Source organism: Homo sapiens, chromosome 11, assembly GCF_000001405.40.
Source record: "Homo sapiens chromosome 11, GRCh38.p14 Primary Assembly".
NCBI lineage: Eukaryota > Metazoa > Chordata > Mammalia > Primates > Hominidae > Homo > Homo sapiens.
The window spans coordinates 120,618,559-120,644,401 of record NC_000011.10 but is presented as its reverse complement, the minus strand read 5'-3'; the positions used below and the strand labels follow the sequence as shown (position 1 = coordinate 120,644,401).

At 49.2% G+C, this 25,843-nt stretch overlaps 1 protein-coding gene and 1 pseudogene across 21 annotated transcripts in view, besides 2 other annotated features; one reads left to right on the top strand and one right to left on the bottom strand.

Moving 5' to 3' along the window:
- GRIK4 (glutamate ionotropic receptor kainate type subunit 4) overlaps positions 1-25,843 on the bottom strand; it is a 477,159-nt gene that overhangs the window by 344,505 nt on the left and 106,811 nt on the right. The window lies entirely within an intron of this gene.
- Positions 9,485-10,464: an enhancer, noted in NCBI's record as "H3K4me1 hESC enhancer chr11:120504647-120505626 (GRCh37/hg19 assembly coordinates)". NCBI's record gives its function as "activates a minimal SCP1, AML or CMV promoter by ChIP-STARR-seq in primed H9 embryonic stem cells {active_cell/tissue: H9 hESC(primed)}" and the evidence as "EXISTENCE:reporter gene assay evidence [ECO:0000049][PMID:30033119]".
- Positions 16,506-17,006: an enhancer, noted in NCBI's record as "H3K4me1 hESC enhancer chr11:120498105-120498605 (GRCh37/hg19 assembly coordinates)". NCBI's record gives its function as "activates a minimal SCP1, AML or CMV promoter by ChIP-STARR-seq in naive H9 embryonic stem cells {active_cell/tissue: H9 hESC(naive)}" and the evidence as "EXISTENCE:reporter gene assay evidence [ECO:0000049][PMID:30033119]".
- On the top strand, positions 24,132-24,480 carry ELOCP22 (elongin C pseudogene 22; annotated as a pseudogene).

The window sequence follows — 25,843 nt, the reverse complement described above, 5'->3', positions numbered from 1 at the left end:
ATGCATGCAAATACTTCACACAGTAGCTGGCACATAGTTAAGTTATCAATAAATATAATTCACAACGGTACCACATTCCCGTTGCCTGGAAGCAAACAGCTCTGCTGCTTCTGATCCACACATTTAATCTAGCAAAGAGCATTTTCCTCACTGCTCTTTCATTCATTCAACAAGGATTTACTGAGCACTTAATGTGTGCGAGGCATAAGATCTTGTAAAAAATACAGTATCCTTGTCCTTGAAACATTTATTAAATAATAAAAAAAACCCTGTGTCACAGAACTGTACACACATACACAGAATCACACATACACACACTTTCTCTCTCTCTCTCTCTCTCTCCTCTCTCTCTCTCTCACACACACACACACACACACACACACACACACAGACCCTCTCCCCTGGAAACTTGTCATCTATATATAAAGTACTATTATCTGCATTGTTAGACTGGATAATTACTAAAGCCTAAGCAGTAGGCAGCTCAGGGACTATTATACTCTGTTTTCTGAAAGAGGAAACTGAGGGTCAGAGAAAATAAATACCTTGCCCAAAGACCAGGGTAAGGGATGCACTAGAACTAACGTTATTAGACACCCTGGCTGCAACATGCATTGAGTTAGCTGCTTCCACACGGTCACTTCGTCAAATCCTACAACAACCCTAAGAGGCACGGGTCAGAGCCCTCCTTCAAAGATGAAGAGCCGGAAACTCAGAGCGGTTAAGTAATTTGCCAAGGATCACAAAGCTAATGAGCGATGAGCCAAGTTGCAAACAGTATTGTCAGACTTAGTTGCCAGCTCCTCCCACAGGACCAGACTAGATTTAACAAGTACCACTGTTCAGACAAGTCACAGGCCATTCAGCTGCAGGTCCAGCAGGCTGTACACCAACCCCCAATATCAGCGGTGGGCCTGCTATGCTCCAGGCATTGTGCTCTGGCAGATACCCTGATGTGCAGAGTCCACAGGCAACGCTGGGTCCCACGGTGCCTCAGGCACACCCTGCACATTCCCACCTTGGGGCCTGTGCTTGAGCTGGGCCCTGGACCTAGAACACGTTCCTCCAAATAGCTGACACACTCCCTCACCCTCTTCCAGGCCTTGACTCAAATCTCTAACTCTCAGGGGGCTTTCATCCTTGCTACCCTGCTTTATTTTTTTCTTTTTTCCATAGCACTTATCCCCTTGTAGCTTGTTATATAATTTACTTATTATATTTCTTATTTATATGAGTTTCCCCTCTATACGCTTGCTAAAGAGTAGCGAGCTCCTAGAGAGCAGGGATTTTGTTTGCTTTGTTCTTTATGGGTCCTAAACACCTAGAACAATGCCTGCCATACATAGTGGGTGCTCAGTAAATGTGTTGAATGAGTATGGGAAACATGTGAGCAGTCACGGTGTTAAGATTAAACACTCCCAGTGCAAGTGGAGGCTGGGTGTATTCTGGGAGGGGGCCATGGCAGCCAGGCATCTCCTGTTTCTACTGGGGGAAGTGCAGCCTCAGGAGCACGTAGATTTAATGCCTCCCTATTGAATGTTATAATAATTCAGAGACAGAGGCAGCATGAGAAGCTTCCTATTTGCAATGTTCTGACAGCAAACAGATGAGGTGAGGAGGAGGACGGCAGAGAATTTCAAGGAGTTCTCATCCTGGACGCAAGGAGAACCCAAGGCCGCTGCTGGCCGTGGCTGAGCCCCGCTGAAGGCAGGATGCCAGGCTCTGCTTCCCAGCACATCCTGAAGGGACAGGAGTGCCAAGGAGAGGGAGAAGATGGGGCCTCACAGCCTGGAAAGTCAAGAGAGATGAGAAGAGTGAAGCCTTGGTTCAGAAGATGGGTCCCAGGACCTCACATCCGGAAGGGAGCTTGGGGACCACCTAGCATAGATTCCTTACTTCACAGATACAAAAAAAAAAAAAAAATGCCCAGAGAGGGAAAATGACTTAACCAAGGTCCAGAGTTTGTCCCAGAACAGGTTCTAATACCCGCATCTCCCAGCTGCTCCGTCAATGTTCTTTTCGTGATAGTACTGGCTCAGTGACCTGTTTTGTTTTGTTTTTTCCCTTACAGATGGAGGTCTTACTCCATCTTGCCCAGGGTGGAGGGCAGTGGCATGATCATGGCTCACTGCAGCCTGGACCTCCTGGGCTCAAGCCATCCTCCCACCTCAGCCTCCTGAGTAGCTAGGACCACAGACACACACCACCACACCTGGCTAATAACTTTTTTAAAAACTGTCTTCCATAACTCAGCACTGTATTCCGTACTGGGGACATAGCTGTGTGCAAGACAGATAATGTGTGTTGGGAAAAACACACAGGTAGCCATCAAATCCCAATACAAAGTGGACAGTGTGATCACAGAGGATGTTTCCTGGTTGCCATGGGAACACCGGAACAGAGCACCCAAACCAGGCTTGGGAAGCGGGGGTGGTCAGAGAAGACTCCTCAGAAGAAAGAACATTTGAGACCCAAACAATGTTGGAATCAGCCAAAGCGTCAGAAGTGTTTGAAACAGAGCAACTGCATCTTGAATAGGAGCTGGGTAAAATGAGGCTGAGACCTACTGGGCTGCATTCCCAGGAAGTTAGGCATTCTAAGTCACAGAATGAGATAGGAGGTCAACACAAGATACAGATCACAAAGACCTTGCTGATAAAACAGGGTGTGTGGTAAACGAGCTGGCCAAAACTCACCAAAACCAAGACAGCAACAAAAGTGAAGTCTGGTCATCCTCACTGCTCATTATATGCCTATTATAATGCATTAGCATGTTAAAAGACACTCCCATCAGCGCCATGACAGTTTACAAATGCCATGGCAACATCAGGAAGTTACCCTATATGGTCTAAAAAGGGGAGGAACCCTCAGTTCTGGGAATTGCCCACCCCTTTCCCAGAAAACTCATGAATAATCCACCCCTTGCTTAGCATATAATCAAGAAACAACTATAAATATACTCAGCCATGTGGGCTGCATTGCCTATGGAGTAGCCAAGCTTTATTCCTTTAGTTGTTTTTTTTTTTTTAACTTTTACAGTTCAATTTACTATATAGAAATCACTTGGGTTTTACATTTTCAGTTAACTTTTGAACTGAGATTACAATATTATAACAAAAAAATCTTTATACTAATTCAGGACTTTTTAGCATACCAAATTGAAATACACAGATTCAAATTTCAGATTCATGGCAAACAGTCTTCAAATACAATACAGACACTTCTTAAAGTAGCCATATCATTCACATGTGATATTTGCAACTCTGAGATGTTTCACATAGAACAGCTCTCCTGCAGATATGGCAAAGTGGCTATGCCACGAAGTTCAAAGCCTGTAGAGTCAAGCCAAGGACAAAGTTGCACCATCGTTAAAAAGGTTTAGCATTTCTGGGCCGGGCGCGGTGGCTCACGCCTGTAATCCCAGCACTTTGGGAGGCCAAGGTGGGCAGATTGCCTGAGGTCAGGAGTTCAAGATCGGTCTGGCAAACATGGTGAAACCCTATCTCCACTAAAAATACAAAAAAACTTAGCTGGGCATGGTGGCATGTGCCTGAAATCCCAGCTACTCAGGAGGCTGAGGCAGGGGAACTGCTGGAACCAGGGAGATGGAGGTTGCAGTGAGCTGAGATCGCGCCACAGCACTCCAGCCTGAATGACAGAGCGAGACTGTGTCTCAAAAAGAAAAAAAAAAAAAGGTTTATCATTTCTGGACCACAACAATGCACAACATGTAAAGAAGGCAGGAAACAGTTCTCCCTCCTTGTTATGGTTAAAAGAAAGTTACATGGCAGCTTGGAATTTTGCATAAAACCCCATATTATACCTTGAAAAAGTCCAAGGGCAATTTGATGGTGATGGATTGGGGTCTTATTTTTTTTTAAATTAATAGAACCCATGAAATTCAAATGGGCATTAATTAATTAAAAAATATTAAGCACCTACTGGTTTAAGAGATTTAAATTTATTGGAGATTCATAATCAATTTCTTTCCACCTTGAAATCAAGGTATAAAAACCAGCTATTAAGTACATTCCAAACTTCTATGTGGCACAGGTAGAATTTTCTGTCCATTGACACCAAAGTGAAGTCACATTTCCTCTTGGGAGACAGAAATTCCACACCTGAACATAGAGTAAGTTGGGAAAAAATGACCCCTGTTACTACTATTGTGATTCTGAGATCTAGGATTACTAATATACTGACAGTAAACAAAGCAAATTCCTGGCAACAACTGTTGTTCCTTTACTTTCTTAATAAACTTGCTTTCACGCTACTCTATGGACTTGCCCCAAGTTCTTTCTTGCATGAGGTCCAAGAACCCTCTCTTGGGGTCCGGATCAAGACCCCTTTCTGGCAACAAATGGGAAGCAGAGGGATGGGAGGAGGATGAGCCCATAACTGGAGGGGACAGGAGACAGGGATCTTTCCTGATCCAAAGGCAATGAGGGGTGCTGCCCTGGGGGAATAGGATCCGGGTCAAAGATGGCTCCACAGCAGCCATGCTAGGAAGTCTAGATTGTATTCTAGGGGTACCAAAGAGCCACTGAGATTTTTACATAAAGGGATGACATAACCAGAATTTCTTATGGAAAGGTCACTCTGACTGCAATTTGAAAAGAGTTTTAGAGGGTTTAGGTCTGGAGTCTGGGACATCCATTGGGTGGGCACTGAAGAGGTCCTGGAGACAGATAGACATGAGGAAGGTAGAAGTGGCAGAGGAAGAGACGTTTGCATTTGCGAGCTTTTTAGGAGGTAGAATTGACAGGACCTGGGGATCAGATGTGGGTCGTGGAGGAATGCAAAGCAAGGATGCCTTCCAGGCTTCCAGACTAAGCACCTGCCTAGAGGATGGAGTCACTTACTGAGACAGGGGCCGACCCCAAGAGGAGAGACTGCGAGACAGGGGAATGACTTCCCCAGGAGATTAGAGGAAGGAAAAGGCAGGGAGCAAGGGATAGTGAGCCCAAGGTGCCAAGAGCACCTGTGCTGTGTGTGTAGCGAGATGAAGAGCACAAAAGCAGGCCCCGGGGATTCTCCCATCCAGAGCTCAGATGGTTCCAGGATAAGCTCCAAGTTCACCTTTCCACCTCTGTCCATTGCGCCCCTGATGCAGCTGAATCTTAGGGCAAGCTTGTGCTTTGTAGGCTTTGACCACTGGCCAGACACTGACCTCTGCTTTTATTTTTATTTTTTATTTTTTATTTTTTGAGATGGAGTTTCACTCTTGTTGCCCAGGCTGGAGTGCAATGGCGTGATCTCAGCTCACTGCAACCTCCGCTTCATGGTTCAGGCAATTCTCCTGCCTCCACTCCTGAGTGGGCGATTACAGGCGCCCACCACCATGTCCAGCTAATTTTTTGTATTTTTAGTACAGAAGGGGTTTCGCCATGCTGGACAGGCTGGTTTCGAACTCCTGACCTCAGGTGATCAGCCCGCCTTGGCCTCCCAAAGTGCTGGGATTACAGGCATGATCAGGCGTGGGATTATTGCTCCAGGCCTGACCCCTGCTCTTGTAAGGTCAAGGGCCACCTTGGATAGAAATGATATTAGGGCACAGAAAAAATAGTTCTAATCCCTGAAAAAGGCAGGCCCTTGCTCACCGTGCCGCTTTAGAAGATATCACTGGGCCAGGCGCGGTGGCTCACGCCTGTAATCCCAGCACTTTGGGAGGCCGAGACGGGCGGATCACGAGGTCAGGAGATTGAGACCATCCTGGCTAACATGGTGAAACCCTGTCTCCACTAAAAATACAAAAAATTAGCCGGGCATGGTGGCAGGTGCCTGTAGTCCCAGCTGCTTGAGAGGCTGAGGCAGGAGAATGGCGTGAACCCAGGAGGCGGAGCTTGCAGTGAGCCGAGATCATGCCACTGCACTCCAGCCTGGGTGACACGAGACTCCGTCTCAGAAAAAAAAAAAAAGCAAAAGAAGAAGAAATCATTGAGAGGTAGCAGAGCATGAGGATAAACATCATGGACTCTGAAGACAAATTCTAGCTCCACCACCAACTAGCTGTGTGATCCCATGCAGGTTACTTAACCTCTCTGTGCCTTGTTTCCTACATTTGGAAAATGGGGATACTAATTCATTTCTCCAAAGGGGTAGTAACTCTACCTCTCTGTAGAGTGTTAAGAGTTTTAAGTGGGTCAGTATTTGTCAAAGAGCTTAGAAGAGTGCCTGGCACATAGTAAGTGCTATATAATTGTTAAATTAATAATAAAACATGACCAGGTATAGTGGCTCATGCCTGTAATCCTAGCACTTTGGGAGGCCAACACAGGCTGAACACCTGAGGTCAGGAGTTCGAGACCAGCCTGGCCAATGTGGCGAAATCCCATCTCTACTAAAAATACAAAAATTAGCTAGGTGTGGTGGTGGGTGCCTGTAATCCCAGGCACTCAGGAGGCTGAGACAGGAGAATCACTTGAACCTGGGAGGCGGAGGTTTTAGTGAGCCGAGATCACGCCATTGCACTCCAGCCTGGATGACAGAGCGAGACTCCCTCTCAATAATAATAATAATAATAAACATATGCATAAGCTGAGGGCTTAGATGCCATCACTCTAGGAACAAGATAAGTCAGGGTGGGAGAGGTATGGTTCTGTAGGCAAAGGGGCCCAGGAGAAAGAAGGGGCATTCTGCAGTGTCGGCTTTAAGCACCCTGGCACACCCCACTACGGAAAAAACCTGGGCAGAGACAAATGAACATTTAAACCAGCTTCAGCTTCAGATCGCCGCAAGAAATAATTATTCTGGGTATGAATCTTCTCTAAGAAGTAATATTTACTTTGGAAACACAGCAACTGCACCCCACATGGCTCGCTGTTGCTGGAATCTGAGCAGCCTCCACTTTACTAGGGGAAGCAGTCCTGCTTTACGTATCCAGGCGCTCTGTAAAGCACTGAAATTTACAGCACATTTGTTATGCAGCTCAGCAAAAGGTGTATGAAGAAAGAATAACCTGTTCCATCAGCACTGCTCAGCCGGAGAGACCAGAAAGCCACTCACTCTGCCTGTGAAGGGGATTTGCCAAGTGCCAGGGGGGAAAAAAAACAAGCCTGTCCCACCAGGGCACCCTGACATTGGATTTCAACAGGCTCATGTTCCTGCTTCCACTGTGTCGCTTGCTGGTACAAACAATACAACTCCAACATGAGGACACCTGCTTCCCTCAAGAACACCCGCTCCCTGCCTGTCTGACTTTCTCCCCACCCCCACCTGGCGTCTGGAAAAATATGTGTTCATGGTTCTCTCTCTCTCTCCCTCTCACCTCCTTCCCTCCTCTTCTCTTTCTTCCTGCATCTTCTCTTCTATTCTTCACGACTCTTCCCTCCTGCTGGCCATCAAATGCCTACGTCTGGGGAGGCCCATGGCATTGAGGTCCTCAGAGACCCGAAGCAGGCAGAAGCTGGTTTTGCACCAGCTTATCACTGGGGGGCACCCTGGGAAACTCATAGACACCTCTGACCATGGCCATGGCCTCCAGCCCATTCTCAGGGACATCAGGACCCAGGTGGAGGCCAGAGCCCAGAGAGTAGAACTCTTCCTTCCTTTCTTTTTTTTTTGAGACGGAGTCTCACTCTGTCTCCCAGGCTGGAGTGCAATGGCACGATCTTGGCTCACTGCAAACTCCACCTCCCAGGCCCAGGTGATTCTCCTGCCTCAGCCTCCCAAGTAGCTGGGATTACAGGCGCACGCCACCACACCCGGCTAATTTTTGTATTTTTAGTGGAGACAGGGTTTCACCATGTTGGCCAGGATGGTCTCGACCTCCTGATCTCATGATCCACCGGCCTGAGCCTCCCAAAGTGCTGGGATTACAGGTGTGAGCCACCGTGCCTGGCCAAGAGTAGCAGTCTTTCTAGGGAAGAATCCGAACTGATCCCCAAGACTCCCAACACAGTCTCCCCACACTGCTCTTCTTAGATATCAAGAGAAGCCCTGGGCAAAACTGTGACATAAAATTTGTTCCTTCACTCAACTAATGCTTTTGAGCATCTACCACTGCCAGACATTTGCCTAGGAACTGAAAATATCACTATTCATCTTTCCTGGATTATGACAGAGTGCCATGGGAGGGTAAAGGAGGGGCACTCATGCTCCCCTGGGGTAGGGGTCAGAAGACGGTTCCCAGGAGAACAGCACATAACCTCAGACATAAAAGAAGAAGACAGATATGGCCAAGAACATTTAAAGCATCACCATTCATGAAAGTCAAAAGCTAGACATCCAAATGTCCACCAACCATAGAATAAACTGTAGTATATTCACACAACGGAACACTACACAGCAATGAAAATGAACAAACTTTAACAACATGGGTGAACCTCACCAACAGAAACGTTGAACGAAGGAAAGCCAGACGCAAAGGGTAGACGCATTGAAGAAGTCCACGCTCACAGAGTTTGAAAAGAGGCAAAACGTTATCTATGGAAGTCAGGATAGCGGATGCCTTGGGGGTCACAGTGGCTGGCTGGGGGTCTGAGAGGAGCAACTAGTAACTGTTTCACAGCCCAGGTGCTGGCTATAAGGGTGTGTACACTTCCTAAAAATTCAAAGCCATACACTTATGATTTGTGCATTTTGGGGATGATTGATATAATTTTGTGAAAATGTTTACTAAAATAATTTTTAAGACAAATGAGATAAGCTGGCAACCACAGGGCATGCTTATCCTGTACGCCCTTGGCTTGCTCCTTTGCTATCTCTCCTGAATCACCTGGTGACCTCATGCCCTTTCCAAACACTCATCACACCCCATTCACTCTGCAGGCAACAGGAAAGCATCCGATTAATTAATTGGTACTAAATTGTCCATGACTGATAGCGGTTCAACAGTACTACCCCTCCCTGGGGGACTTCCTTTTTAATAAAGCAGAATCGCTTTAACTCAAAATAGTAACTATCACCAGGCATCCGGAGCAGGAGCAAGGAGAGCTATGGGGTGGGGCTGGGGGCACTCTCCAACACCCCTGAGCTCCCTGAATGTCAGGAAGGCCCTGGGTGACTGCGGCACGCAGGACTCAGGGTGCAGTGCAAGGCTTGCCAGGGAATTTGCAACTTCAAAATACACACAGGACTCTGACCTACGCCTCTCAATTTGCATAGCTGACTCAGTGCACCTTGGGTGGTTGCAGCATGTTTCCAAGAATTATTCAAACATCTGTCCCCTTCTGAGTGGGGAAGGGGTTGGGGTGGGATGTGCTTGGTTCCTAACCCAAGATGATCTCTGACAAGAGTTCATGGCAGGCAGAGAAGGAACCCGACCCTTTGCAGGGACCGTAATATGAAGTTTCAGCTGGGAATCCTGGGCCACACTCAGCTGCCCTCCTATCTCCTCTGTCTGGAAAACGGAAAGAAGGCAAGAAACAAGCCCCATAGCTGCTCAAGGTCCTCTGGCCTCCCTGGTCTGTCTTCTCCCAGGCTTTGCTCCCCAGCTGCCAAGGCGAAGCTCAACTGAGGTGCAAGGGGGACGTTCGCATCTCGCTTTCCCTAGAGATGGCGGATGCTCAGTCTGGCCACCTGCTCAAGTCAAGTAGCAGGCAGGTCACATGCTTGGCGACTCCGTGAGCTGGGCACGAAGATTGGCAGAGAGGAGGAAGGGAAGCCCTGGCAAGGTGAATCGCCCCCTCCTGCCCACGAGGGTCTCTTGAGAACTCCCACAAGGAACCTCCCACTGTCTCCGGACTCCGTTCTCTGTCTCTTTTCAGCTCCCAAATCTGCTGTCTCCAGATCACTGGGGTTTCCAGACAGAGCAACAAGTCTCCCATCTGACAGACTCAATTCCGAGTGGGTCCCTAGAGGAACAGAGTCTCTCTGAAGAGTCTGGGGTAGGCAGGCCGGCAGGCTGGGAGAGTCTTTGGTGTCTGGGAGGGCTCCTTCCAGAAAGGCCAAGGCGAGGCCCTGGCAGAAGCTGCAGAACCCTTGGGGGAGGAGGGAACTCTGTGTTACAAGCAGAGAACTTTCAACCTGGGAAATGGCACCACGGGATGGTGGCGGGGTGGTGTGGGAGAAGCTTTGGAATGGGGAAAGCTGGGTTTGAATGCCAGCTCCGCCTCCTGTTTGCTGCAGAACTTCAGGCATAGCCCTGGCACTGAGTAGGGTCTCAGCACACGTTAGCTGTCATGTTCAACAACTAACACTCTAACAAGGCTAGAGTGACAGAGAGAGTGCGTCAGGAAACACAGGGCACCAGAGGCCCCCTCTTGCCATTTATTCGGCGGCTTACAACTTGTCAGGCAGGACGCCAAGCACTTTACATATATTATCGTGCTTAATCTGCACACACACTGGAAGGCAGGTCTAAAGAGCCCCATTTTAGAAATGAGGTTCAGAAAGGTGCAGCCGCTGCTCTAACGTTACACTGCTCATAAGCGGAAACAACAGGATTTGAACCTACGTTTGGCCACCTCCAAGTTCTGTCCTACTAATCGCTGTGCTCTCTCTCCCCAAGAGCCCTTCTCCCACCCCCGTGCTCACAGATCTTCAGTTTGCATCAGCTCAGAGGTTTGCAATCGTCTTTCACACATCCCACTGGGAGATGTGCCGCAAGCAGGGCCCTTATCTCAAAAAATCTCCATGCCCAGCCACACTTCCCTTCTGCCTATGCTTGGTTCTCCCCAGCAAACCCCCACAGTAGCAGCAGGGAGACAGAGAAACTCTCCCTTCCCCTCCCAGCCTCTCCCTGCTCAGGGGCCTTCTAATGCTAACACAGCCCATCCCCTTTCATTTGAGGGGACCTGTGGCTTTCATTTCCCTCTTTACTTAAAAAAGCCAACTCAGTACACTTTTGATGCTTCAAATTTATCTTTATTAATAAACAATAAAAGTTAAAAGCTTCCCCGGTCCCTAATTAAACACCATCAATAGCAGATATGGCAGCCTAGCTTCAGACACAGAGCAACGTCCTGACAATGTCTAAGTCAAAGGCTTTCAAAGCAGGTGCATGCGAGCACACACATGTGCTCACGTGCACAGAACAAGGCATGGGCAGCGATTAAGAGGGGCCAGCGTCTGCAGAGAGTCCTCTTTATCCCAGGAAATGGCTCTCTCCGCTCCCCATCGAGAAGGCCTGGGAGTCCTATGAGGCCTGGCCCTGCACTCACTGTGTCTCTGATTTACAGGGCTCTGAAAGCCTGACATGGCCATTTAAGTACTTTAAATATGCCCAAAATGATAATTACCTTGCCATTGGCACTTCATCTTAAACGAAGCTCCAGGCCAAGAAGACTCTGAACTCACTGTCACTGAACATATAATGTTCTTGGTTGACTCTACTCTTCTGCATGGCGCTGGTGGCTCTGTGGGCAGCTGCCACCCAAGGCAAAGGGCACTGAACTTAGGATCAGATGACCAAGGTGCCATCATCTGTTTGTGTGCCTGGGTGAACCATGTGCCTTCTAAGTTTCCTCATCTGTTAAATGGCTGATGATAGAACCAGCCCATCTCATGGCTTATTTGTGAGGGCCAAAGGAAACGACCTGTGAACTCCAAGGTGGGTTAAGACGTGAGCTAGTAACAAGGTCATAGTGTCAATGGCCCCAAGCTGGGTGTTCCTCTACAGCAGAGAAGCACACTCCAGTCTCCCCAGTGGTGGAGAAGGGCTTATCAACTCTGAGCACACAGAAGCCTCTGGGGGATGCTGGTGGTAGTGCAAGGGGTTGCAGGAGATCCTCAGAATCAGGAACCCTCAGTTCTGGGGGTGCTCTTCTACCCATTCCCAGGACATGCTGGGTGGTGTGAGTTGAGTGCTATTCCTGGAAGAGCCAAGTTTTCAGCAAGATAAATGGAGCTGCAAGAGCAGGAAGAAGGTGGCTGGGACAAACGGGGACAAGTGTTAGACTTCTATATCTCATACCTGGAGCTAACCTGGAAACGGGAAGCACAGTGAGACCCTCGGGTTCTAAGTGAGCAGGGTCCAGCCTGACAATACAGGACAAGGAGAAGAAAGAGAGGAGGAGAAGGGGACACGGAGCATGGAAGCAGAACCCCACCCTGAGCTACGTTCTTTACTCATTATCTCAATTCAGCCTTATAAATCTATGAGGTGGATGTCGTAGTTTGAGGTGGTTTATAAACCATAGAAATTTATTTCTCACCGTTCTGAAGGCTAGAGGTCTGAGATCAAGGTGCGACATGGTCAGGTTCTGGTGAAGGCTGTCTTCCAGGTTGCAGATGGCCAGCTTCTTGTATCTTCACATGGTGGAAAGAGAGAGCAAGCTCTCTGGGGTCTCTTATACAAGGGCACACATCCCATTCATGAGGCCTCCACGCCTATGACCTCCCAAAGGCTCACTTCTTAATACCATCACACTGGGGGCTAGGATTCAACACACGAATTTCAAGGGGACACAAACATTCAGTCCACAGCAGTGGGTACTGCCATTCATTTCCAGATGAGGAAGCTTGGAAGGGGTAAGGAGCTTGCCCCTGACTGCTCAACAGTATATGATCATGCTGGACTTCAAACCTGGGATCACCTGACTCCAAGTTGGTGTTCTCATCCCCACCCCACCAAGCTCCAAGGCTGGGGGTCTCTGGAGCAGATGGAACCTGTGTGCCTCCTACAAGCCCAGCGGTGGTGTCGTAGGAGCTCTGGAGTAAACAGTAATTTGAGACAAGACCTTTGTCCTCAAAGGGTTTTCAGCATAATTGGAGAGACAAGCCCATGAGGCAATCCTAATAATCAGCCCTAAATTATGAGAAAATTAGGAGTTCAAGGCAAGAGTCATCTTTAAAATCCTTTCATGAAATCAGCTGGGAAGACTCTCCTGACCTCATTGCCCCCAAAGGCCTCTGTCCCCTCTCACTCCTGGGTGAGACTTTTGTGCTGCCTACTGTCCTGGGGGCAGAGGGAGGGGGACGCTGCTGAGTTTACCAGGCTTGTCACTCTCTCCTTGGACCTTAAGAGGCTCCCATCGACTCGGAGGCCTGGCCCTGGATGACACAACCACCTACACTGGGCATCGATGCTTTAGTAGCGTCACATCCTGGCTACTCAAAGTGTGGCCTGTGGGCAACAGCATCCATATCCCCAGGGAGCTCATGAGAAACGCCGAAACTCAGGTCCCACCCCAGACCCTAGGGTCAGCATCTGCCTTCTGACAAGATCCTCAAGTAATAAATGCTTGAGAAGCACTTGGGAATCCCCATTGAGCTGCAGAGCCAACACTGTCAGAACTAGGAGATACAATGAAATGACGACAATGATCATTACAATGAAGGCAAACAAAACAGCAGACCTGTACTGAGTGCTGCGTAGCAGCCGGACACCGTGCTGAGTGCTATGTGTGCATCTCTGTTCATTCTCACAATATCCCCGAAAGGCAGGCACTATGATTACTCCCATTCTCATATGAGAGAACTGAGGCTGAGAGACATGACCCAGCTTGTAAATGACAGAGATAGAGCCAGACCCAGGACCACCAGCACTGTGCAGCCCACCATTCTTAACCGCTCGGCTGGAGTGCTTCTCCAAGAACCCAGAGATCGCCCAGGTACACTTTCTCATTTTACAGAAGAAAAAATAGATCCAGCAAGGGAGGGGCCTTGCCCAAGGACTCCAGAAACCCAGACTCTAGAACCCAGTCAGGACTCTAGAACCCTGGTTAGCGAACTTTCCAACACATCACACTGTCCAACATCCGCATCCAATGGTGTTGCACAAAAGGAACAAAAAAAGTAGTTTTGAAGTAGACTACGATAATTTTAAATCACTTGTTCATTTGTGCTCAAAACAATATGGATTTATGGACTGTCACAGAAGCCCTCTCCCAAGAGAGTTCCCCCTTACCTGGCTCCTGAGAGGGGGTCCAGCCACCCAGAGCTCGGCCCAACACCCTTAAAAGAGGAGGCCGGCGTCTGCTTTTCTTTGCATTTCACTTTTTCCTGGCAGAGCAGGAAAGGCTGGAGATGGCTGCTGCTAAGAACCATCAGCAGAACTGTTGATAGTGCAGAGCCTGGGCTGCCTCCTCTTCCCAGTGGGCTGCCAGGAGCACGTGCAACCCAAAGAGATTCTTATTCACTGCTCTTCTTCAAGCATGTTTCTTTCTGCTTTCAGAAACACACCACAAAATGGTCAGGCAGTCTTTTGTCTGAGTTAAAGAGCAGGTCACGGGAGGCCTGGTTTGTCTGCTCCCAAGGGGCTTAGCTCTGGCACTGGGCCATGGGGCCTTCTGCTTGCCCCAGAGGCTGACAGGTAAGAGGGGGTTCAGGGTCCCCACACAGGGCAAGGCAGAGGATGACTCTGTAGCCTGCAGCTGGGCTGGGCTAGGCAGGAAGAGAGGAAACCCTTCCAGCCACTTTACTTGCAGAAGGAGCTCAGAAGGACTCCTAGACCCTGGCTGGGAAGGGACGCCTCCTGAGTGGTGTCCACAGTGCCCCTCTCTCCCCCACACACAAATGCCAGGTGCCTTTTATTTTGGTGCTGGGTATCCTGCACCAAAGCTTTGCCAGCCCAACTGCCAGTGCAATGAAACTGGATTAGCACTAGGACAGCTGGGACAGGCCCCGTCAGCAGAGAGGCCCCTGCCCTGGTGCAGACAAAATGTCAGATTCCCGAGGGGGTGGGCAGATGCCTCTGAGGGCATCACAGCTCCCTCTCCTAGCAAAAGGCCAACTCCCCAGCCGCCCAGCATGGGGAGCCGCTGGAAGGAAAAGGTGGCTGGTGCTGTCAATACAAACAACAGCGGGCCTGGCAGGGAAACTTTCTGCCTAGCAGGACAATCGGAAAAGAGCAGGAGGGAAGTTGGGTTCAATTCACACCTGGTGGAGGCGCTCTAGCTTCCTCTGCTTGGGGACAGGGATTGGCCAGAAGCCTGAGCACATAGCCAGGTGCCCATGTGGCCCAGAGGAGAGATTCAGGTGCCTTCTCATCAGAGCAGGGTCAAGGCACGGAGGGCAGGAGGACAGAGTGGCAGCAACTGGAAGGCAGAAGTCGGGCAGTCGTACCAGCAGTGGCAGGAACGACAGTAGCTAATGTGTTCTGAATATGCGTGTACTCGGAACAACCTTGGCCCTAGGTAGTTCACATTTTATTTCATTTAACCCTCAAACAACCTTAGGAGATAGATACTGTTATTGTCCTCATTTTTCAAATGAAGAAACTGAAGCTCACATAGGAAGGGAAATTGTCAAGGCCACATGGATATTTCATGGTATAGACAGGATTCAAACTCAGATCATCAACCACTGCCCTATACCAGTTTTGTTCTCAATTATGCTTCCCTCCACCTTCCCCACCTCTCCAACTTCTTCCCATCCTCTGAAGCCCATCTCTGGGCCACCTCCTCCACAACACCCTCCATGGCTACACCAGGCTTCCCAAAGCTCACCCAGGTCTGAATGGCTGTGCCGCTCCATCAGCGGCCGCGTGCCTCCTTCTGCCGCCTTGCTCGGTGGTGATTTCATCTCCCTGACTAGACTGCGAGTTCCTAGGAGGGCAGCAGACGCATTCTCCACTCTGAGTGTCCTAGCACAGCGTAAGGCAAGTACTGCTTGCTTAATAAATATTTTAAAAAGGAAGGAAGGGAGGGAGGGAAGAAGGATGTATCTTGCCCTGAAACCCTCTTTACTTCACATTTATTTTTCACGGTATAAGAAAAAACAGAGAACTGAGCATGAGGTTTCTCACCCTCACTGGAGAAGTCCCTCTGCCCCACAGCTGAAACCACAGCCATGGCCTCTGGACTCACCTGGGTCCCAAGAAATTGCCTTCCTCAGGCCCCTAGGAGCTAATGTCCCTTCTCCTCCTCCACCCATCAGTGAAACAGGCCAGGACCCCAGGGAGGCACTGCTAACCCTTGTGTCATCATGACCATCAACCTTTCCATGGCTATCCCTCTCTGCACAAGGCGCATGTTGTCAGGAGGGCCCTCGGGAGCACAGCTCCTGGCTTCAGGGGATCTACAATCTCCAAGGTGTGTTTTTACCCAGATGGGTGTCTGGTGGTCAGGGAGGCCCAGGGAACACAAATAAGCAGGTCAAGAGTCACATCCTTGTTTCCGCTAAGGGAAAGGGCAGCTAAGAGGTAGGGAGTAGTGCCAGGGGTGGCTGGGGGCTCCTGGGACCATGGCTAAAGATATATTTCTGGGGCAAAATTGATGATTCCTCCAAGCATAGAAGAAAATAGCACTCCAATCTGTGGCCTGGGCCAGAGATGTCAGATGAAGGGCCAGGTGACAGGGACAGAGTGCACTCAGCCTCCTCTACCTCACAGCTCACCAAGCCTCCGAGTTTCTCACCCCATTTGAGCCATCTGGATAACACCCCTCCTGGGAGCACACCCTCTGCCACCAGCAGAGCATTAGCACCCCGGCACAGGCTGCCTCCTCTCCCCGGAGGCTGACACTCATACAGCCCTTTGTGCCTTTCAAAGAGCTTCATATACATTGCCTCTCACCATCTTCATAGTGAGCATTCTCAGGCCCATTTTACAGATAAGGAAACTGAGGCTCAGGGGAATTAGAAGCACAGCAAATTGCTAGCAGCACCGTGACATGAGTTCAGAAGTTCACTCTGAAGTTTGTCTTGACCTTTATTCCTCAGGAAATATGTTATGACTTGAAGAATGATTTCATGCTGGAAAAGGGGAGGATGCAGCCAGATGGGAGCAGCTCTTTGGGGACCCTCTCTGCTTATCTGGCTCAGGCACTCCACACAAGACTGAGCCAGGCCCTCGTGCAGAGGTCCAGCAGGGCTACACCAGGGCCCCAAGCCACAAGCTCATCCTGCCCTTAGGCCCTTCAGGGAGGGGGCAGCAGCCATGTTGACAGTTTTGCCCCAGCAGGGCCTGCCTCCTGGGCCCCAGGAAACCACTGTCTCCAGGAACTGCCGGGCTCATTCCACCTCCCAGCCTGGTGTTGCTCTGGGAGGCACAGGGTTGAGCAGGGAAGGGGAGGGAAATATCAGAACTGGAAGGAGCTAGCACAACCCCACCTGCCACATGCAGAGAGGCACGCAGAGACTCTGGGGAGGGGAAGTGCCCACATTCACAGGGCCAGTGCAAAGCAGGGCTGGGACCAGAAGCCAGGTTTCCACTCCTAGCCTGGTGCTCTCCTTGCACTGCGCTGTGTGGCTTCTCCTTTGGAGAGGACCGGGAAAGTGCAGGTTCCCATCTAAAATCAGTTTTGTAAGTAAATGGCGAGAATGATAATTTCTTGTGAATGAAGGAAGAACTGGATTAACTTGGGCTCCATAATGTTTATCATCAACCAACATTAATGAAATTCCTACTCTGTGCTGAGCCCTGGGGACCCAACAGTAGATAAAGTGGGCTGGTGACACAGAGGGACACTGAGCTGTGCAACCCCAGACACACAGACCGGGGCTCTCAAGAACAGATCAGCACAAACAGGGCCAGGCCCGCCTGCTACGTGGCCTCTGCCCAGGGCCTTGGGCAGTGGAGAAGCCCTTCGGGCCTCCGTGGAGTCAGTTGGCACATAAGGAACCGGTGTGCTGACCATCAGTGTTTACCATCACTAGGGCTGGCTTTCTGTCAATCACATCAAGCCATGTTTCTTTAGGGTAGATCATAAGACAATTGTTTTCATCTGTTTGCCCTACAAAGCCCTTGATATGTGAGTATGCCATCCTCCTGACGAGCCCTGATCAAGGGAGAAAGCACAGAAGTCCAGCAAGAGAGTTTTCCAGACATCGTGTGTCCAGAGCGATGAGTGCACAGCAGCTGCGGAGTCCTTGAGATTGGATCCAAATGGGGCGTTCAGGCAGAGGAACAGATGCAATGAGCTCCGGGATGCCTAGGAGACTACTGTTCCCTGGGGAAAGCACGGATCAAGGTGAGCTTGAGACTTGAGTGCACCCTGGAAGCAGTGTTGGTGTGGCAGGGGACCAAAGGTAAGGCCAAAAGATCCTGGGTCCTAGAGCCACCCTGTGCGGCTTTGAGACAGCACAACCTCTTGAAGAGTTCACCTCCCCACACACATAAGACATGCCACTCTCTCGTCTAAGGGTAGGGAAGCGCATCAGTTTCCCTCCAATAAAGTGTGCCGAGCCAGTTAAAGCAGGTAAAATGGTTCCAAGTTCTTTCTGAGGTCGCATCTAAATCATTTAAACCCATTTTCCCCTTCCCTGGCCTTTCTTCCATTCCCTTGGTGGCAGAGACTTGGGTCATCTGTCACCAGCACACAGGAAAGGGGCAGGGCCCACTGAAGCCCCCTCCCCTGGGCTGCTGACAGCCCTCTAGACTAATAGCAGCTCTAAGGACTCAAAGAGATACATGTACATAATATTTTTATGTGACTCCCCAAATCAATGAATCCTTTTTCTAAAGCATCTTTTGTTGGGGCGGGGGGACACTTTGAATCTGAAATAATTAAAGTCTTCCATCAAATTATCCTGGAGATCTCTTTCCATGAAAAGCCTTTAATTTCATCCTCCTTGATGTAATCCTACCTCAGCAGATGAAGTTGGCCTTTTATATTTCTTCAAATGTTGGTCAGGTCCCTTATCAGAAGTAGATTCTGAATAGAAGAGGGACTGGGAAGCCTCCATTCATCAGAGCCTGAGGTGGGGCACGGGTGGCCATCACTGACACCTCCCCACACCCCATCTGCCGCTGTCTCTACCCTGATGAGTCCTTCCTCTAACACAGTGCTGCCACCTGGAAGTTCTGATTCACCCAGCCAGCTGCCCACCCTCCCCCCAAACACGTGGAGTTTCCACCACACCCTGGCACTCTGTTTGGAGCCAGGGGTAAGAAGGGAAGAGCACAAAAGCCAGCAATGACTTCTGCCCACCGAGACCCAGACCAAAATGTTTCCTCCACTGAAAAGATGAGCTATGCCCACTGAAAGGAGAGACAGAAAGATCCAGAGAAAGAGCCACGGAAGAGCTGACTAATCAGCATCTCAGATGTGAGAAGAGGCAACAACACTTAGAATCCCTAAACCAAAATGAAGCTCAGGAGGGCCTGTGAGTAGGTGGCCAGCTGCTGCTTCACATCATGGCCCTTCTCTCTCCGCCTCCCCCGGCTCTGCTCTCCCTCCTTTCTGCTTCTTCTCTCTGTGTCCCCTTTCCGGCCGGGTGCTCATCTGCCATTCCCCGCTGCCTTTGCTCTGACCTCCCTCTTTTCCTTCTTTCCCTCTTTCCTTACTGCCTTGACCAACCACCATAGGAAACTTAAGTCACTCTGTCGCCCAGGCTGGGGTGCAGTGGTGCAATCTTGGCTCACTGCAACCTCCACCTCCTGGTTCAAGCAATTCTCCCGCCTCAGCCTCCCGAGTAGCTGGGACTACAGGTGCATGCCACCATGCCCGGCTAATTTTTGTAGTTTTAGTAGAGACGGGGTTTTACCATGTTGGCCTCTAACTCCTGGCCTCAAGTGATCCACCTACCTTAGCCTCCCAAAGTGCTCAGATTACAGGCGTGAGCCACCGCGCCCGGCCTTAAGTCTTATTTTTACATGTTTATTTAAAATGAGGCGCATGATTGCTAGTCTATAATTTTCATACCAGGTGCGTTTCATCTTCTCTAGGTCTCTCTTAAATCTCTTAAATCTGCACCCCATCCCCCCAAGATAATCAAATACATGAAGGTGTCTTTATTTCTGTGTAGCTTTCTATACTTTCCTTTCCTGGAGCAGCAGGCAGGGAGAGAAGCTGAAGGGCAGAAGGTGAGGTGGGAGCTGTTTCACAGCCCTGGAAGAAAGAAATGAGGATCTACGCTAATGGAGGAAGAGGAAGAACAGGTTGAGAGCAATTCCCAAGGTGCTCTAGAGAATGCCCAGACTCCGCGGCAGGGTACGAGATGAAGTGTCTGTCTTGCAATTGTGTCTTGCAGAGGACTTCACCCACTTTCTTCCCTCGGTGCCAGCTGACTCTGGGCAGGGTGCTGAGAGAACAAGGGGTGGCCAGCAAGGAGGGGCAAGCAGGACAGCCCTCTAGGAGCACCTACAGCTACTCAGAGTAGAGAGTGGCTATGGGACAAGGAGGAGGCCAAAGGGGATGGGATAGCCACCAAAGAAAAATTCAGCTAGAGCCTAGCTTTGGGGCCAGGACCTCTACATCTGGTTACAGGGAGGGGGCACCAATGGAGGTCCCAACACTACTCAGATATTTCTGCCCCATGGGGCCCCATGGGGAAGGTCCAGCAAGGCCTAGACAGTCCGCTCTTGAGCTCTCTATTGGGGTGGCCCCTGCCAAACCCCAAGGGGACCTCAAGAGCCCTTGGTGAGAGGTTAAAGTAGTGTGATGAGATGTTTAGATTTCAACATAATTATTGCTATAACAGTTTAATCACTTAAAAACACTATCTTGTGTTACTCTAATGAAGAGAGAGGCTCTTTTCCATATTGTTTATGCCATCTGTGAGCAATTTTCACATTAGCCTCTTAGAATGGCAAAATGAAGTCCAGGCAGTGATGGAGAGAGGCAGGGCGGAAAGGGGAGGAGGAAGAGGGAGAGGGAGGAGGAAGAGGGAAGGGGGAGGAAGAAGAGTAAGGGGGAAGAGGAGGAGGAGGAGGAACGGGGAGGGCCCAGAGAGAAGCAGGGTGCCACGGAGGGCAGCAGGAGCTCTGAGGGCCCCTGGATGGGACGCAGGCTGCATGGTGCAGGCCCCATGTGTGCAGACCCCATCCTGCCACCATGGAGGAGCCAGTGGATGAACACGTGACCCTGCCTTTGAGGGTACCTCACTTTCTGATGGGAAGGAATTTCCTAAATTTATGAAGAAAGTAAAGAAAGACAAAATAGCCCAGGACAGTGATTTTCAAACTATGGGTCACAACCCATAAGTAGGTCCGTGAAATCAATTTAGTAGATTGTAATCAGTGTTTTTCTTTAATGAAATAGAAGAGAATGGAAAATAACAGAAATGTCATTTCCTACTGAAAGAAATCAGGGTGACTTGGAGGAATTCCTGGTTGGGGGTCAGGAACACACAAGCCTGTGACATCTTGTGTCAGAGAGCATGGGCTTGTTCACAGACCGATGGGGTCACACCTAAAGAGTACAGGGGGCCGGGTGCGGTGGTTCACACCTGTAATCCCAGTACTTTGGGAGTCCAAGGCGGGAGGATCACTTGAGCCCAGGAGGCCAAGACCAGCCTGGCAAACATAACAAGACCCCATACTCTACAAAAAAATAAAAATAAAAAATTAGCTGAGTGTAGCCCCAGCTACTTGGAGGCTGAGCGGGGAGGATCACCTGAGCCCAGGAGAATGAGGGTGCAGTGAGCTATGATCACACCACTGCACTCCAGCCTGGGCAACAGAGCAAGACCCTGTCTGAAAAATAAAATAAAATTTAAAAGAGTACAGGGGCTGGCTCCAAGGGGTTCCCACAGGCCAAAGATGGGACAATTTGAGATGCAAAAAGAATAGTTAGGAGAACTGACTGAAATACACTGAATCTGTAAAAATTCACAAGTCCATAAATGTAGTGGGTTAAAAGGCGACCCACATGACCTAACTCCCAGAACCTCTGGATGTTACCTTGCATGGCAAAAGATGTGATTAAGTCAAAGGATCCTGAGAGGAGGAGCACACTGGGTTATCAGGGGGGCCCTAAGTAAACCACATGTATCCGTAGGACAGACACACAGAGAAGAGGAGGGGGCAGCGTGACCACAGAGGCAGAGACTGCAGCAAAGACCAGCTAAAGCCACCAGATGCTGCAAGAGGCACAGAACGCATTCTCCCTAGGGCCTTTGGCGGGAGCACAGCCCTGCTGACAACTTGATTGCAGACTTCTGGCCTCCAGAATTGTGAAAGAATAAATGTCTGCTGTTTTAAGCCACTTGGCTTCCGGTCATTTGTTACCACAGCCACAGGAAACTAATACAATAATGACACTCCCAAAAGAGAAAGCCAAAAGCAAAGAAAATAAGAACTATCAGGGCATGCAGTACAAAGTATTTCCATTTGATATGCATATATCTGTGGACAATCAGGGTTAGGCTTGGAAAAGTATTTCTTGCTGTGAGTCTTGCTCAAAAACATGAGAAAAGTCTGCCCAGTGGTTAAAGGCATGGCTTTGAAGTCAAACTACCCAGATAAGTGTCTCACTTCTGCCCCCTAAAGGCAGTGTGACCTGGGGCAAGTCACTTACCCTCTCTAAGCCTCCTGTCTGTGTCTGAAAAATGGGGGTAGTAATAGTACCTAGTTCATGGGGTTGTTGTGAAAATTAAATGTACCACATCCCAGTGTTGGTGGTGGTTGCACATTTGTCACAGTTAAAAATAATAATAAGGCCGGGGGCGGTGCTTCACGCCTGTAATCCCAGCACTTTGGGAGGCCGAGGTGGGTGGATCACCTGAGGTCAGGAGTTTGAGATCAGCCTGGCCAACATGGCAAAACTCCGTCTCTACTAAAAATACAAAAATTAACTGGGTGTGGTGGCGGGGGCCTGTAGTCACAGCTACTCGGGAGGCTGAGGCAGGAGAATCGCTTGAACCCAGGAGGTGGAGGTTGCAATGAGCTGAGATTGCACCACCGGACTCCAGCTTGGGCGACAGAGTGAGACTCTGTCTCAAAAAAACAAAAATTAAAACAATAATAATAATAATAAATGACATATATAAAGACAAGCACAAGCTATACCCCATACCCATGTTAATCATTACAAAGACCCCCTTGTACTGCCGCTGCAGCTGAGAAGTCTCTACGGATGACAGTATGTCAAAACTGACTAAAATCATGCAATTAAGTGCCTTCACTTTAGAAAGGAAGAAAATAAGGCCCAAAGAACTGTGACTTGGCAAGTTTACATAGTTAGTACATGCTTGAGATAAGACTAGACTCCATCTTGGAACTCCCAGTCTAAGGTGAAAGCACACTAACCCAACTCCCATAGTCTTTCATAAGCCCCTGAGGATGCCAGGACCTTCACTCTTTCTGGCTCCTGATGGCCCAGACCCTCCCTTGCCTCACTGCCAGGGCTCTGGGGAAGTCTTCTTTGTGTCTACCTCACAGAAAATCCCTTAGCTGCAAGTTGATGAGCTGGGAGGGGGTTTCTGTTACAACGAGTTTCCTTGCACTAAACAAGCTTACACTATCCTATTATTACCTGTTCAAATGATTTAGATATTTCTCCCTGACAGCTCCAAGTGCCTGATTCCCTGATCTTCTCTAGCAGGGGGCCTTGCAGGCCTTCAAACACTCAGCTGATTGGAGAAAATGGACTGTGTGAAAGGCTTAACTAAGGAGAAGGTTGTCAAGATCATCCACCGACCCTGCAGACTCACCGTGCCCACCCCAAGCAGCCTTCCTGACCTTACCCAAGACTCAGCATGAACGTGTTCCTTTCTTACTTCACAGAGGCTTTGAGCTTGGGGTTTGTGTGTGACAAGCTGTGACCAGGGTACACGAGTCTTTGTTCTCAGCACTGAACCACCCATCCCCGAAGATTAAATAATGGCTGAGGATATAGGTTTTGGAGTCAGGCTGACTTGGGTTAGAATTAGGGCATTTCCACTTTGTTGCTGCATGATCGTGGGCAAGTGACTTAACTGCTCTCCGAGCCTCAACAGTAAGAGGCGGGTAATGATATCTACTTCACTGGATGGTTGTAAGGATTGAATGAGATCGTATTGCAAAGGGTTGAGCACAATGCCCGGCACATCGTGCATGCCCAATAAGTAGTGTCTGATAGTTGTCAGTGGGGAAATAATAGTGACAGTGGGGGTGGTAGCAGTACTAGTAATAATACTACAATACCTGATGTGATTGGAGCAAAATACTAATAAATATTTATTTAAAAAATTAAACCAGAACTTTTCCACAAGGCTATGAACAGCTACATTAAAAGCTTTCCGGGGCCAGGTGTAGTGGTTCGTGCCTGTAATCCCAGCACTTTGGGAGGCCAAGGCAGGAGGATCCCTTGAGCCCAGGAGTTTGAGACCAGCCTGAACAACATAGGGAGACCCCATCTGTATTAGTCTGTGCTCGTATTGCTATAAAGAAATACCTGAGGACAGGGAGGCAGCTGAGGGTGGGGGAGTGGCCCTGGAATAGGGGCTGTGGCCATACATGGGGACTGGGTTATGGTAGCTACGGGGCAGTACATGGGGACTAGGCTGTGGTGGCTCGAGACAAGTGAGTCTCGAGCTGGGGCAGAAAAAGAACTCTGGGAAACTACTAAAGTTCCTGAGGAAGCAAAGTAGAATTTCATAAGAACAAAATGGATGGCGAGGAGAAAACCTATTAGGGTGGCTGTGAAGGCCCTGATGCCATGTATGTCAAATTGATATCATCTGATGGTCATGAATTTATTGTAAAAAGAGAACATGCATTAACATCAGGCATGATAAAGCCATGTTGAGTGGCCCAGGTCAATTTTGCTGAGAACGAAACCAATGAGGCCAGTTTTAGAGAGGTACCTTCACATGTGCTATCAAAAGTATGCACGTATTTTACACACAGGTTCACTACGCTAACAGCTCCACCGAGATTCCCAAACTCCCAATTACACTGAAACTGCACTAGAACTGCTGGTGGCTGCGAACTTCCTAGATTGTCAAATAAAATAAATTATAATACACTGTTAACTCTTTTCAGTATTAAAAAAAAAAAAAGAAATAGCAGAGACTGGGTAATTTATGATGAAAAGAGATTTAATTAGCTTACAGTTCTGCAGGCTGTACAGGAAGCACAGTAGCATCTGCTTCTAGGGAGGCCTCAGGAAACTTACAATCATGGCCAAAGGCAAAGGAGGAGCAAGCACTTCACATGGCCATAGCAAGAGGAAGAGTAGGGGAGGTGCCACACACTTTTAAACAACCAGATCTCATGGGAACTCACTCACTGTCACAAGAACGGCACCAACAGGGAAATCCACCTCCACAATCCAATCACCTCCCACCAGGATCCCCCTCCAACACCGGGTATTACAATTCCACATGAGCTTTGGGTGGACACACAGCTTCAAATCACATCATTTCACCCCTGGCCCCTCTTAAATCTCATGTCCTTCTTACATTGGAAAATATAATCATGCCTTCCAAACAGTCCCCGAAAGTCTTAACTCATTCCAGCATTAACTCAAAAGTCCAAAGTCTCATTTGAGATAAAGGAAGTCTCTTCTGCCTATGAGCCTGTAAAATCAAAAACAAGTTAGTTACTTCCAAGATGCAATGGGGGTATAGGCATTGGGTAAAAACTCCCATTCCAAAAGGGAGAAATAAGCCAAAAGAAAGGGACTATAGCTCCCATGCAAGTACAAAACCCAGCAGGGCAGTCATTAAATCTTAAATCTCCAAAATAATCTCCTTTAACTCCATTTCTCACATCCAGGGCATACTAGTGCAAGGGGTGGGCTCCCAAGGCCTTAAGCAGCTCTCCTCTTGTGGCTCTGCAGGGTTCAGCCCCCACAGTGGATTTCAAGGGCTGGCGTTGAGTGCCTGCAGCTTTTCCAGGCACAAGATACAAGCTGCTGGTGGATCTACCATTCTGGGGTGTGGAGGATGGTGACCCTCTTCTCACAGCTCCACTAGGCAGTGCCCCATGTGGAGGCTCCAACCCCATACTTCCCCTTTGCACTGCTGCCCTCGTAGAGGTTCTCCATGAGGGCTCCAACCCTGCAGCAAGCTTCTCCCTAGACCAATAGGCTTTTCCATACATCCTCCAAAATCTAGACAGAGGTTCCCAAGCCTCAACTCTTGCACTCTGTGCACCTGCCAGCTTAGCACCACATGGAAACCACCAAGGCTTATGACTTGTACCCTCTGAAACTGTGGCCCACGCTGTACCTGGGCCCCTTTGAGCCTCGGCTGGAGCTGGAGTGTGGGCTGTATGGAACAGTGTCCTGATGCTGTGCAAGGCAGCAGGGCCCTGGGCCTGGCCCACGACACCATTATGTCCTCCTAGGCCTCTGGGCCTACGATGGGACAAGCT